The sequence below is a fragment of the Homo sapiens genome, chromosome 9, assembly GCF_000001405.40.
Source record: "Homo sapiens chromosome 9, GRCh38.p14 Primary Assembly".
NCBI lineage: Eukaryota > Metazoa > Chordata > Mammalia > Primates > Hominidae > Homo > Homo sapiens.
In genome coordinates, this window is record NC_000009.12 from 98,740,445 (window position 1) to 98,753,051 (window position 12,607).

The 12,607-nt window shown below is 46.1% G+C and overlaps 1 protein-coding gene across 1 annotated transcript in view; it reads right to left on the reverse strand.

Annotated features, from left to right (window-relative positions):
• The window catches only part of ANKS6 (ankyrin repeat and sterile alpha motif domain containing 6), a 64,547-nt gene that overhangs the window by 8,436 nt on the left and 43,504 nt on the right, over window positions 1–12,607 (reverse strand). Inside the window, exons 13-14 of the mRNA NM_173551.5 lie at window positions 10,585–10,652; window positions 5,115–5,231 (exon numbers count right to left, since the gene is read on the reverse strand). Of these exons, the coding sequence (NP_775822.3) occupies window positions 5,115–5,231; window positions 10,585–10,652 (185 nt within the window). The remainder of the gene's footprint in view (window positions 1–5,114; window positions 5,232–10,584; window positions 10,653–12,607) is intronic.

Genomic DNA, 12,607 nt, shown 5'->3' on the forward strand with positions numbered 1-12,607 from the left:
TCCGCTAAGTATCTGTCAAATGGGGATGTTACCTGCCAGCGCTGCACTGAAGCTCACCCTGAGATAATGAATGGGGTGGCACTGTGCAAACTGCAGAGGGCTAAAATGTAAATGGAAGGGTTGACAGCAATTTTATTATTAAACACCATCTTAGCCTTAATTTCCTGAGAAATGAGGTCAGGGCAAGACAGGGTTCCGGCCCTCGCTGCCTGCTAACCTTAGGAGGGAGCTGTAGATGATTAAAACCATAATTGTTTCCTGCATCCACAACTGATTGAAGATGATAACAATAATTGCCCTTTAAAAACCCCTGAGTTTCAAAGGACCTGCCTGATAATTCTCAAAAGGAAAAAAAACAGCTATTAAATGTAGAAAAAAGGTTCAACTATCTAGCATCTCAAAAAATGCAAATTAAAACAAGGTACCTTTTTTTGCCTATCAAATTAATAAAGATTAAAAAACAAACTGATAGTAATACTGGCAAAGCTGCAGTGAAACGAATAACAAACTCTCACACACTCACAGCTAGTGGAACTGTTCACTGGCTCTTTCCGGAAAGTTATTCAGATGTACATATACCTTGATTCTGACTCTTTGACTCAGTAATTCCACTTTCAGACATCTACTGTGAGGATTAGAAGGCCTTAGACACAAAGCTGTCCATTGCAGCACCATTTATACAAAGTTTGAAAATCTACATAACCAACAGGTAGGAATTTTTTAAAAATTAATTTTAGCACATCTATGCAAATTTATATGAAAAAGAGTTCTTAATGACATGAATAGCTGCATATATTGCATATTAAAGAAAGCAGGATATAAATACGGACCCAAATTTATCTCAGTTATATTTTACGAAAATTTAAGGGTGTGGTGATGGGTGCTTATAATCCAAGCTACTCAAGAGGCTGAGGTGGGAAGATCCTTTGAGGCCAGGAGTTTGAGGCCAGCCTGGGCAACACAGGAAGACCCCATCTCTTTAAAAAAGAAAAAACAAAAAAAAGGACACAAAACACTGCAGAGTAATCTGCCCAAAGGTGAACAATGTTGGCCTCTGAGTGATTGGATTGTGATTTCTTAAAAAAATTCTTTTCACCATTTTGGTACTGTGTAAATTTAATAAAATCAATATGCACTGCATTGACAATCACAAAAAAAAGGGCAACAAAAAGAAACAATGACTTAGGACCAACTAACTCCTCATTTCTGGTAAACCTCCAATATATAACTCATCCGAAACTAACAAACTAATGAGCAGACTCGAGCACACATTACAATTCCAATACTGGGGTGGGTTCATCTGGAAGTGACGTGGCTTGCAGGCTGAGGGTCCACAACGTTTTGCTAATATTACTATGCTTAATAAGACTTGCTGATGTTATTACATTATGAGCCAGGTTTTTAGTTAATACTCACTTAAAAAATTTTAGGCCAAAATGCTCAATCTTATTGATTGTGTAAAAAAAGCATTTTATATCACACCCTGTTTTCATGTAAACACATGTAACTGAAACATCTTGTCCCTTCTATCTGCAAAAGCATGTTGCTATTTTCTATTCTATTTTCTAAAACGTGCTGCTCATGCCCCATTAAATGGATTCTAAAACCCACCAGCGTGCTGTGGACCACAGCTAGAAAGACACTGCGGGCAAGGAAAGCTGGGCCTCCCCGTCTCATGTGTCCTGGTCTGGGGTCTCTAATGTGTACAGAGCACTAGAGCCACAATGGGTACTCTCTCTTGGTTGGCCAAGCTTGCGTTGCAAAAGAAAAAGTATGAATGTTACAAAGAGAAGTTCATGCCCTATAGCAAAATTAAAGAGGCAGGAACCCTTGATGTCAAGGTCAGGCAAGTCCAGTCTAGAATAGCCAAGGCCCAGAGCATCTGAAGGCTGTAAGGGCAGTGAACCGACTCTTGGAAGCCACCTTTGGCCTGAGGAGCTCTTTGCACATCTAAGAACCAGCACGCAGTTGCAGTGCTAACTTAAAATAATGCAGCAGAAGTTAAATTTGCTTTTGTACTATTACACTTCTCCTAAACATGCCTTTTCTCTATGACTCATGATGATACATGGTCTTCACTTCCAGAGGACTTTATCTGGTATTATTTACTCTTGAATAACAGGATCTTTCTCCAGGGAAGTGGTTCAGATCGGCTCCTTCCCCTTGCACCTATTACTGTGTGGAACTGCCTGACTTTGCAGGGTGGATGCTGCCTGTTGGGGGGACACAGGTGGGATTGAGTGGTGCCTTTGGCCTGGCATGTCACAGGCACCTGGGCCTCTTGGTTGTGAGCTGGTGAGCTGGGCCCCTAAGCAGGACCACTAACAGCTGTCCCTTCTGCTTCACCTGATGGGGCCTGTTTAGTATAGGATGCAGACTGTCGCAGAAGAGGGAATGGGTGGGGGGGAGGGGGAGATGAATTTGAGAGGCAACTGAAAAAAGGCTCTAGTTTATATAAACTTTAAGAACAATGTCCTCCATCGGGATGGGCTCAAGATGTCATGTCATTCACTCTGATGATGTCAGTTAAGTTTCCTAAGGTTTGCACACTAGCCCAGTCTGTCTGCTTTTTGTGATCCTGGGCCAAGGAGGCCGTAGCCACAGAGGGCACAGGGGAGGTTCTGGAAGCATTAGCAGTTGCCATCTGGTGGCATCAGCTCCTGGCCTGTCCTCTCACTGGCCCTGCCTCCAGAACCTTTTCCGTCCTTCTTCCTTAACTGGCTTAAGCTTGGATTTTACTCACTCCATCCTCTCCTTGGCTCACACATCTGGCCTCTGGAGGCGAAGAGGAGAAAGGGTCCTCTAACGCCTGGGCCACAGCCCTCCCCCGCCCCACCATCACTCACCCACCTCCCCTCCCCAAAGCCCTTTCCCTTACTTGACTGAGTCACCCTTTACCACCCTGGGGGCCTTGCTCTGTCCCTTGGGCCTCCCCACATGTCATGTCTCTTGCTCTGCACTCCAACCATTCCTTTAGTTCTTTAAACACACTGCACACCTCACTACAGGGCCTTTGCACATGTGCTTCCCTCTGCCTGCTCCGCACTTTTCTACTACCCCTCTAACCAGTGGTTTCCACTCTTGCTTCAGGTCTCAGCTGCCTTGCCACTTCCTCAGGGATGTCTTTTCAGCCCCGATTCTAAGCCAGCTCTCACAGCACCACCTGCCTCTCCTTTATGTGCTGTGGGTTAGCTACACTGAGGCAGTTGGAGACCCTGGGTGAATTCCTCAACTTCTCTGAGCCTTGGTTTCCTCATCTACAAACTGAAACTGACTTCTGTGGCTTTCGTAAGGATTAAATGAATGACTATAATGTGTGACATGCTCAGAGCACAATGCTTGGCACAGAGTGATTCTGAATGGTCAATACCCGCATGGTGCCTGAGACATAAAGGCTCTTCTTCATGAATAAATCAATGCCCCAGTCTTTAGAGACTGTTTTGGTTGATTCACCTTCTGTGAGCCACCCTCAGGCTTCAGTTTCCTGGACGATGCCCTTCCTGACAGCCGAGATCTGCCCGCCTCTGACAACCTCCATACCTGCCTTACCCCCCTGCCCTCCCCCTTGACATCTAACAGCAGAGCAGAAGCGGTGCTGGTCCGGAAGTCAGGCATCACTGCCCAACTCTGAGCCTGGGCTTCCCTATATGTAAAGTGAGGTGGTCTAGGCCCACGCAACAACCAAGAAATGTTTAGAATCCAGCCATTTACAGAGGAGAAGGAACTAGTAAAGACTGGAGGAAAACTACTTGGCCTTGGGATGCCCAAGGCAATGCTAAGGGCATCCCTTTGAAGGATCACCTTATAGCCTTCAGGCAGGTAATAAGAATGACGACAGTGACAACAAAAACCACCACCTCCAATCCTGGCAGGGCTGAGAGGAGCCGCCTCTGCACAGCACAGTGCTGCAGAGAGGTGAAGAGAAAGAGGCCAGGAGGCCTCGGTTTAGCGTCTCCCTCCACTGCCCACCACCGCGTGACCTGGGCACCATGCTCCCCTCCCTAGACTGTGCACCCTCACCAGCCAGACAAGGTAAGTGTAAGGACATCGGCCTCCTTGGGCTGTCTACAGGACTGATGAGGAAACGTATGCAGTGATTTGTAGATGATAAAGTACTACATAAATATTTATTTGCTGCTGGTGGTATGTGTCTGTTCAATATTTCTGTGCATAGTCCAGCAACATACAGAAACAACCATAAAAGTGGCCATGCTCTCTGATATCTCCACATATCGTGGAACACAGCCCAAGGAACAGCAACAAAAAAAGAAAAAAAAGAGGAAAAAGGCAGAGATGTCCATTATGGCAATATTCATAATAGCAAAATTCCAGGCATGAGACTACTGTTCAACAAGTGGAAAGCTGTTAGGCCAAGTGTGAAAAAGCAGCAGGTAAACAGGTACTGCGCATTGTTGCTGGAAAAAAAAAAAGCCACCCTTTATTAAGAAAAAAAAGCAGACAGCAAAGGAGTTCCAATAGCCCAATAGCAACTACAACGAAGCTTGCAAAGTGAGTGGGGATTTGTCTTTTTTATTTTTGTGGTTCTTTTTTGTTTTTGGTGTGTGTGTGCCTTTGGGTGGGCGCGGGGTGAGGGCACTGATATTTTTAGCTTTAAAGCTGATGAGAAATTTAACATGAGACAAAAATGTGGGAAGCCGACAATAGTGACTGACGGCTCTCTGTGTGCCAGGAGCTCTGCTGAGCATTTTAGTCCTTGACACACCACCATCATCCCCACCCTACAGACAGGGACAGTGAGGCTCAGAGAGGTGTTTGCCTCACCCCACACAGTGAATAAGTGAAGGAGCTGGGATTCAAACCCAGGCCAGTCTGATCCCAGGGCCTGTTTGAGCCAAAGGCTCGAAGGCTCTGCTTTCACAGTGCTCCCGAGGGCCACACCTAGCCCTGTGCATTGGTTACCTGAGCGAAGATTTCAGCTCTATCTGGGGAGAAACCTTACGGGGGAAGTCCGAAAAGGGAAAAGGCCATGCTGGGAGGTAGTGAGTGCTTGCTCACTGTCAGAGAGAGGAAGTAAGACCTTCCCAAGATCCCAGGACCCTGGTGAAGCTCTCAGATGTCTGAAACACGGAAATACAAGAAACAGAGAACGGTACCTTGCCTGCGTTCAGTTCAGAAATCGCTGCCAGAATCTGCTGCCTGGACCCATCTGTCTTAATTCCCAGCTCCTTCAAGTCACCGTCAGTCAGTGTGAGGAACGCTTCCATGTCCACCTGGGGAGAGAGAGGGGATTTGCCACCATCTGCTGGATGCCACAGTTTCTTCCCAGTCACAACAGCAATCTCATGATTATGAGCTATGAGTGCTTATTAGTAGTAAACTGATGATGATTTACTACTTCTAAGTCCTGACTTTATGTTTAGAGTTTCGTTGAAAACATTTTTAAAAAATGAACTCTCCTCAGATCTGGCTCTTGGATTTTCTGAACAGATGCATTTTAGGAAGACCCTTAAAATGAGCCAGGTAAGAAAAATCTGGGATAGTCATCTGGGTGGCTAGAATAGGAGAAATCCAAGGCCCGCTATTAGAAAGGTAACTGCAATGTTGCTGTACTTTTAACAATATCGGATACTGTACAAACGTATGGCAGTACTCACCTCATCTCCCTCACCACGCACGAGACAGAGACAGACTGTGGAAAGAGAGTGAGGAAATAAGCAGAAGCAATAAAGGAGAGAGGGCCATGGAGAAGGAGAGCAGAGCTCAGAATAAGGGCATCTCAAAACTGCAAGCCTTGGTTTCTATGGGTGAGATCCTAATGGCTCTGTCAACCCTGCCTGGCCCGTGGACAGGAAATCAGGCCCTCTGCTCCACTGGCTCCTGTTCCTCTTCAGCAAGGTGGAGGGAAGGTCAGAAGTGGCTCCAATGAAGCAAGCACACCCATCACCTTGCATGTCGGACAACAATGGCCTCTGGCATGGGGGTCCACACCTGGCAGGATCCAATCCAGGTCTACTGGGAAGCCAGTCTCACCATCAGACCAGAGGAGGGCAGTTAGCAGTATGTGTGCAAAGCACCTTCTGAGGACTTCAGATAGACGGAGTCATTTAACCCTCATGACATTGGCGGGGTAGATCACTATCCCCACTTTGGAGACAGGGAAACTGAGGCACAGAGAGCTTTTTTTTTTTTTTTTTTAGCATTCAATGTAACATGGCCAGTAAGTGGCAGGGCCTGGCTTTGAACCCTGGCAGAGGGCTCCAGCATCCTCGCCGTTCTCCACAATGCCACATCACCCTTCAGCCGCAGATTCCCCGGCCTCCCTCATGGGCTTTTCCTGAGGGCAGTAGCCCCCTTGTTAACACGACTTGACCTTCCCTAAGCATTAAGGGATTGGGTCCCCAGTCCGGGCCCTTCCCCCTGGGGAGCTGCTATTGCAGACAATGCTACAGCTTCACAAATCAGACTCCAACAACAGCGCTTATCTGGGAGATGGGACAAAGAACTGGCTGCCCACACCCACGTCTTCAGCCAGAGCTAAGCAGGAGGAGGCTGTGCTGCCCTGGAGACAGATAGGGTGCCAATTCCCACTCACTGCCAGGGGACCTGGGCAGGTGCCTTACCTCAGTTTCCCCACTGAAAAATCACAAACAATCCCACCACATAAATTACAGGGTGGATGCGGGATCTACAAAGAGTTTACAAACAGCTTTATGATCTACATTTACAAACTACCAGATACTATTACACTTTAGAGATATGCTACTGTCATTTAAAATAAAACTTGCATAACTTCTTGAAAATCCTTAGTCTTTCACTTTATAAGAAGGCTTTATTTTATATTCCCTCATACCTAACAAGATTAACATTTTTTTTCTTTAAAACATTTGATTTATGTAGGGATAGAGATTTTCTTTCTGAAATTTTCCCCGCCCCCACCTCTCCTTTTCTCTGTTAACAGTCATTTTACTTTTCTGGATTAAAAACAAACAAAAACCTTCAGCCAGGTTTGAGTCACTGGGGAAGAGTCTGTTCCCTTAACCAGTCCTTAGCCCCCTCTGAGATGCAGGCACCCCCACCTCTCTGGCAACAGTAAGCTCCTGGCATCTCCTGGGTGTTTTATAAAAGCTCACGGAGTGCTGAGGGGCTGAATGGATAGGTGATGCAGTCTGAATGGAAACCACCTGCCCCCCGCCCTGCTGGACACGAGTCTTTCCCCACCATCCCAACCCCTAGCAGGGACCCCACATCCAGCGTGGCACCATGGCCAGTCCTCAGCGATTCTGACATCCTCAGCACCTGCCCTCTTGGTGAGGGGCCCTCCACCTCCTAACTGGTCTTTCCCTCCCAGTTATTCTTCCCCTTCTGCCCTTCCAACCCCTGTCCACCTCCACACCAGAGGTAACAGACCTTCCAGCCTGCATCTACCTCAAGCCCATGGTGTACAGAAGCAAGTCCACATTGTCCAGGCCCTGACTGGTCAAGCTCCATTCCCTCCTCCTGATGGACTGGCCTTGGCCCAGTCCCAGCCAAGCCAGAGTACCACAGGCTCTCTCAATGAGTCCTGCTCCCTCTTCCCAGATGCCCTTCCAGGTCCGTTCCCCCTCTTTCTCCAAAGTTCAGCTTAGCTCTCAGCCCAGGTCTTCTCTGGCCCTCATTTCATAGACCCCCTTCTCTGGGCTCCAGAGTATTCTGGGCATCTGCATTTCCCAGCACCAGGCTCTGGCAGAGGGTCTGGCAGGGGCAGGGTCTCAAGTACTTAGTATGCGTTTGCTGAATGAATGAATGACAGCATCAATCAATCAATCTTCTGCCTCTCCATCTGCACTGACCTTCCCAATTCTGACCTCCGTCAACCCTGGGGGATGCCAAACCCTCAGGGCTTATTCTAGGTGGAGAGCACCAGAGACGGAATTCCTCTCCTACGACTACTTGTGAAGGGGTAGCAGGAATAAGGCAGAAATATCCCAGTATCCTTTCAATATTCATGCCCTATTTTTTTTAAGCAACAGAATCCCAATTTTTAGCTGGGCACATTTCCACACAGTTAAAACATATTTCTTAGTTTCTTTTGCAGTTAAGTATTGTCAGGTGATAAACTTTTGGTAAATGAGATATAATAAAGACTGTGTGGGACTTTGGGGAAGTCTCTTTAAAAAGGAGGGAATGTGTCCTTTTGCAGTCTCCTTCCATCCTGCTGTCTGGAATGTGGATGTGATGGCTGGAGCTCCAGTAGCCATATTGGACTTTGAGGATACAAGCCACATACACTAGTGGGGGTGGAGCAGAGAGCTAGAAGGAGCCTAGATGACTCATCTCCAAACTTTTTGTGGGAAAAATCACCTTATTTTTTGTTTAAGGTACCATTATTTTGGTATTTTTCAAATACACATAGTTAAATCCACCTTAATACAGGTAGAAAGATGAAAATTATTAGTCTGTCTTTAGCTTCAAAATGGCAAGATGAGAACATGAATTAACTTCATTCCTCTTCCATATTCTCACTGATAACTATAAGTGCATTATTAATGGGGATAATTGTTTACTGTTGGAAACTAGGGAAAAGTGCTATCTACATGCCCTTTTGCAAGGGACTGAGAAGTACCCCTGAAGCTGTGGTGACTGGGTCTGGTGGCAATCAGCAGGGTTAAAACCTCAGTCCTACTAAAGCCTCCAAGGAAAACACTGGGTTGTGGGTCCATATAGAGAGTGCACCCCTACAGTGTAACCAGCTCATATGTTGCCAGAGAGAAACTAAGTAAAAGGAAGAGACCCTGAGCTTGGCCCCCAGCAAGCACAGCCACCTGTGTCAAGTAGAGACAAGGGCACTGCCTCAGCTAACCTCACACGAACCTAACACACAGAGAGGTCCTCAGCCAGTGGCTGCCAGCCCTCCCCATGGCACTGCCTCAGGCCCCAGCTCCCTCCCTGACCCCAGAGGCTGCAGAAACTTCTAGGTGGGTGAGTTACTAAAATTAGAGCAAATCTGCACAGCCTGCCTTCCTCTCCCCGTGAACATTCTCGAAGCTCTGTACGTCAGCTGAAACATACCCCCGTTCCCTACGCTGGACAACCACAACAACCTCTGAACGATGAAGGACAGGTGAACTCGCAGACATGCCAGGTCAGAAAAAGGGGAAAGGCCAATAAATCAGAACAAATGTCACCCTATGAGCCAGGGACACGATACTTCAAGAAGCAGAAGTGTACTTTGAGATGTGTTCTCTGTACACTCCAAGAAGGCATAAACATATCAGCAAAAGCAGGCAGCGATCAGCAATACGGAAAGATTTCTTGGAGAAAGTCACTGCTAAGGTTTAAAACACCAAGGAGGCAGGAATGGCAGACTGTATATGGTAGAAAAGCAAACAGGAGGAGGAAAGCTACGCGCCCTATTTGTTTCTTGAACTAAAATACGAGCTCCTCAACTGCATCTCAAGTCTGGTGGGGACAATGAGTGATTCTCATGATTGCTCTGCAATTGTGTCAGTTTTTACCTACTAAGCTGCTCACTGGAACGTTCTAAACCAGTGATTATACCCTGGAGGCTGGTGGGCCTGTGGAGGAGTTTTACTTGGCTAAAGCAGTAAATTTTTTAACAGCTTACTGAGATATAATTCATCTACCATAAAATTCACCTATTTATACAATTCAATGATTTTTAGTATATTCACAGAGTTGTGTAACCATCACCACACACTTTTAGAACATTTTCATCACCCCCAAAAGAAACCGTGTATCCATTCTAGTCACTCCCTACTCTGCCCATTCTACCCGCCTACTCCTCCACCCAACTCTCTGGCAACCACGAATCTACTTTTTGTGTCTACAGATTTGCCTAGCCTGGACATTTCATATAAATGAAAGCACACCCTACGTGCCTTTTGTGACTGGTTTCTTCCACTTAGCAAGATGTGTTCAGGTTCATCCACGTTGCAGCATGTGCCAGTATTTCATTCTTTTCATGGCCAAATAACATTCCATGGCACAGGCATATTTTATTTATCCATTCATTAGTCGATGGACATTTGGGTCGTATCCACAGTTTGGCTTTCATGAATAATGTTGCTACAAGCATTTGTGTACAAGTTTCTGTGTGGACACATGTCTTCATTTCTCTTGGGAATATACCTAGGAGTAGGACTGCTGGGTCACACGGTAACTCTATATTTAATATTTTGAGGAAGTGCCAAACTGCAGAACAGTATTCTTTTTTTAATGTGAATCTGAATGCTTTTAAACACATAGCAACTCTCTCAGACCACCACTGACCCTAGATCCAGACACATAACACAGGTTCCTTAGGGTTTACTATTAGCTCACTTTAAGCCTATAAGTCTGCCAGTCAATCACACACAACAAAAAAAATGTTTTCAGGAGAGGAAGAAACTTTTCTAGAGAGAGCAGTGCTCAAAATTACAAAATTCTATCATAACAAAGCAAGCCATAAGTCCCCAGGATTTCACAATAACAAACTGAACTAATCCCGCTAAGCACGAATTCTATTTCCTCAACTGTCTCAGTGCAAGAGATCAATCTAGGCTTGCAAAATGAAAACCTACACATTTAGACAAATTTTTCTTTCATAGTAAGATTTAAATTGACATTCAAAAAGAGCATTCTTACCTCTTGTTCCTCAAAAATGGGCTGATATTTCTCAAGTGATAATTTCTTAAGGATTCCAGTCAGTTCATCTTCAAGATGGAAAGGTGAAAAAAAAACAACACATTTTAGAATTTGGTAAAGTGGTCTTCAAACCTTTATAAAGTAGTGGTAATCTTATTTCAAATGAAATTCTATAAGAAACACCAACACAGAAAGCTGATCTCAGCTGGACTCCTGCAGATGAGGCTGGAGGTGGGTCCTGAGCTACCTGCACCCTCTTCCCCTCAAGGCAGGCCCTCAGCAATCAACAAAACTCCACGTCAGGCTGTGAAGACACAGAGAGTCTGGGCCAGGACTGACTGATTCCCTCCAGACTGCGACCCTCAAGTTCTGGAAGTTCCAGCTGCCAGAACTAAAACTCTGCCTTCTGTGTGAGAAAGCACCATAAATGCCAATGCCTGCAGTAAATGCCAATGCCAGCAAGTCCTTAGCTAGTGTGAGGAAGAACTTAAGAAAGAAGATGGTGGGCTTCAGACCAGAACCAGGGTTTGGCTCAAGTGTGCAGAGGCTGTGGCCTTCCTGAAGGAAAAAGGCATCTATGTGGAACAGCAGAGCCACAAGGGCACAAGAAGATGATTTGGGGTGTCAGAACAGGGAGAATAAAGAAAAGGAGACAAAACCAGCACCTGAGGGGCTTGGAGAAATATTTACTCACACATTCAATAGGGATTTGCCAAACTAGGAACTGGGGACTCAATAGATACCAAAACAGACAATAAGAAGGCTGACAGAGGCCGGGCAGGTCGTGCATGCCTGTAATCCCAGGATCTTGGGAGGCCAAGGATGAAGGATCACTTGAGGCCAAAAGTTCAAAACCAGGCCTGGCACTATAATGAGATTTCATCTCTACAAAAAATTTAGAAGTAATTAGCCAGGAGGTGTGATGTGTGTGCCTGTAGTCCCAGCAACTCGGGAGGCTGAAGCAAGAGGATCACTTGTGCCCAGGAGTTTGAGGCCACAGTGAGCTGCAATTATGCCACTACACCATTGCACTCCAGCCTGGGCTACAAAGCAAGACCCTGTCACAAACAAACAAACAAACAAACAAACAAAGGCTGATAGGCAAGACAGCAAGGAAGAAGAGAGCAGCATCAAGGTAAATGACAGCATTTCCAGTTTTACAAACGCTGTTTTACAGAAGATGGTCACGGAAAGACTCTCCTATAAGGTGATCTATGAGCAGTAAATGAAGGAGTGAGCTATGCAGATATCTGGAGTAAGAGCATTAGGCAGCATCCAGACAGGGAAGAGCAGGTGTAAAGGTTGTGAGGCAGTGCATGCAGCTTAAAGAAGTGATTAGGAGGCTTAGGTTCCTTCTTTTTTTAACTCATTCATTCAACCAACCTTCCTTCCCTCCTTCCCTCCCTCTTTCCCTTCCTTCCTTCCTTCCTTCCAGCAGTGACTACCACTGTGCCCAATGGACACTAGGTAGCAAGGATGGAGAGGTCCCTGTCATGAAGCTCAGTGTGGCTGGGAGGATAGGATGAGGAGGATGAAAGCTAATACACAGTGCTATCAGCCAGCCTGTACATGGATGACCCACTTGCTCTTTACAACACCAATGAGGTAGATCCTATTACTGTCCCCATTTACAGATGAGAAACTGAGGCACAGAAAGGCTTGATACCACATCTTGGGTGAGGTCATCCTGCTAGTCCGTGGCAAAGCAGGGACTCAAGCCCAGTGGTCTAGCTACCAGGCCTGTGCTAGGCGCCCACTCTCCACTTTTCTCATGGGTGGTGCATGCTATGGTGAAGAGCAACAACAGGGGGATGTGGGGACAGAGAGAACAGCTGACCCAGCCCAAGGTACTAGGGAAAGCTTCACAGTAGAGAGGCTACTGAGCGAGGATGTATGAGACAAATCAAATCCCAATCCACACATAATCTGTTGTATTTCATGACACCAAACCTTTGCTCCTGCTGTTCCCTACACATGCAGCCTTGGTCCACAGTGGTGTGCTGGTAAATGTTTAACAACTGGT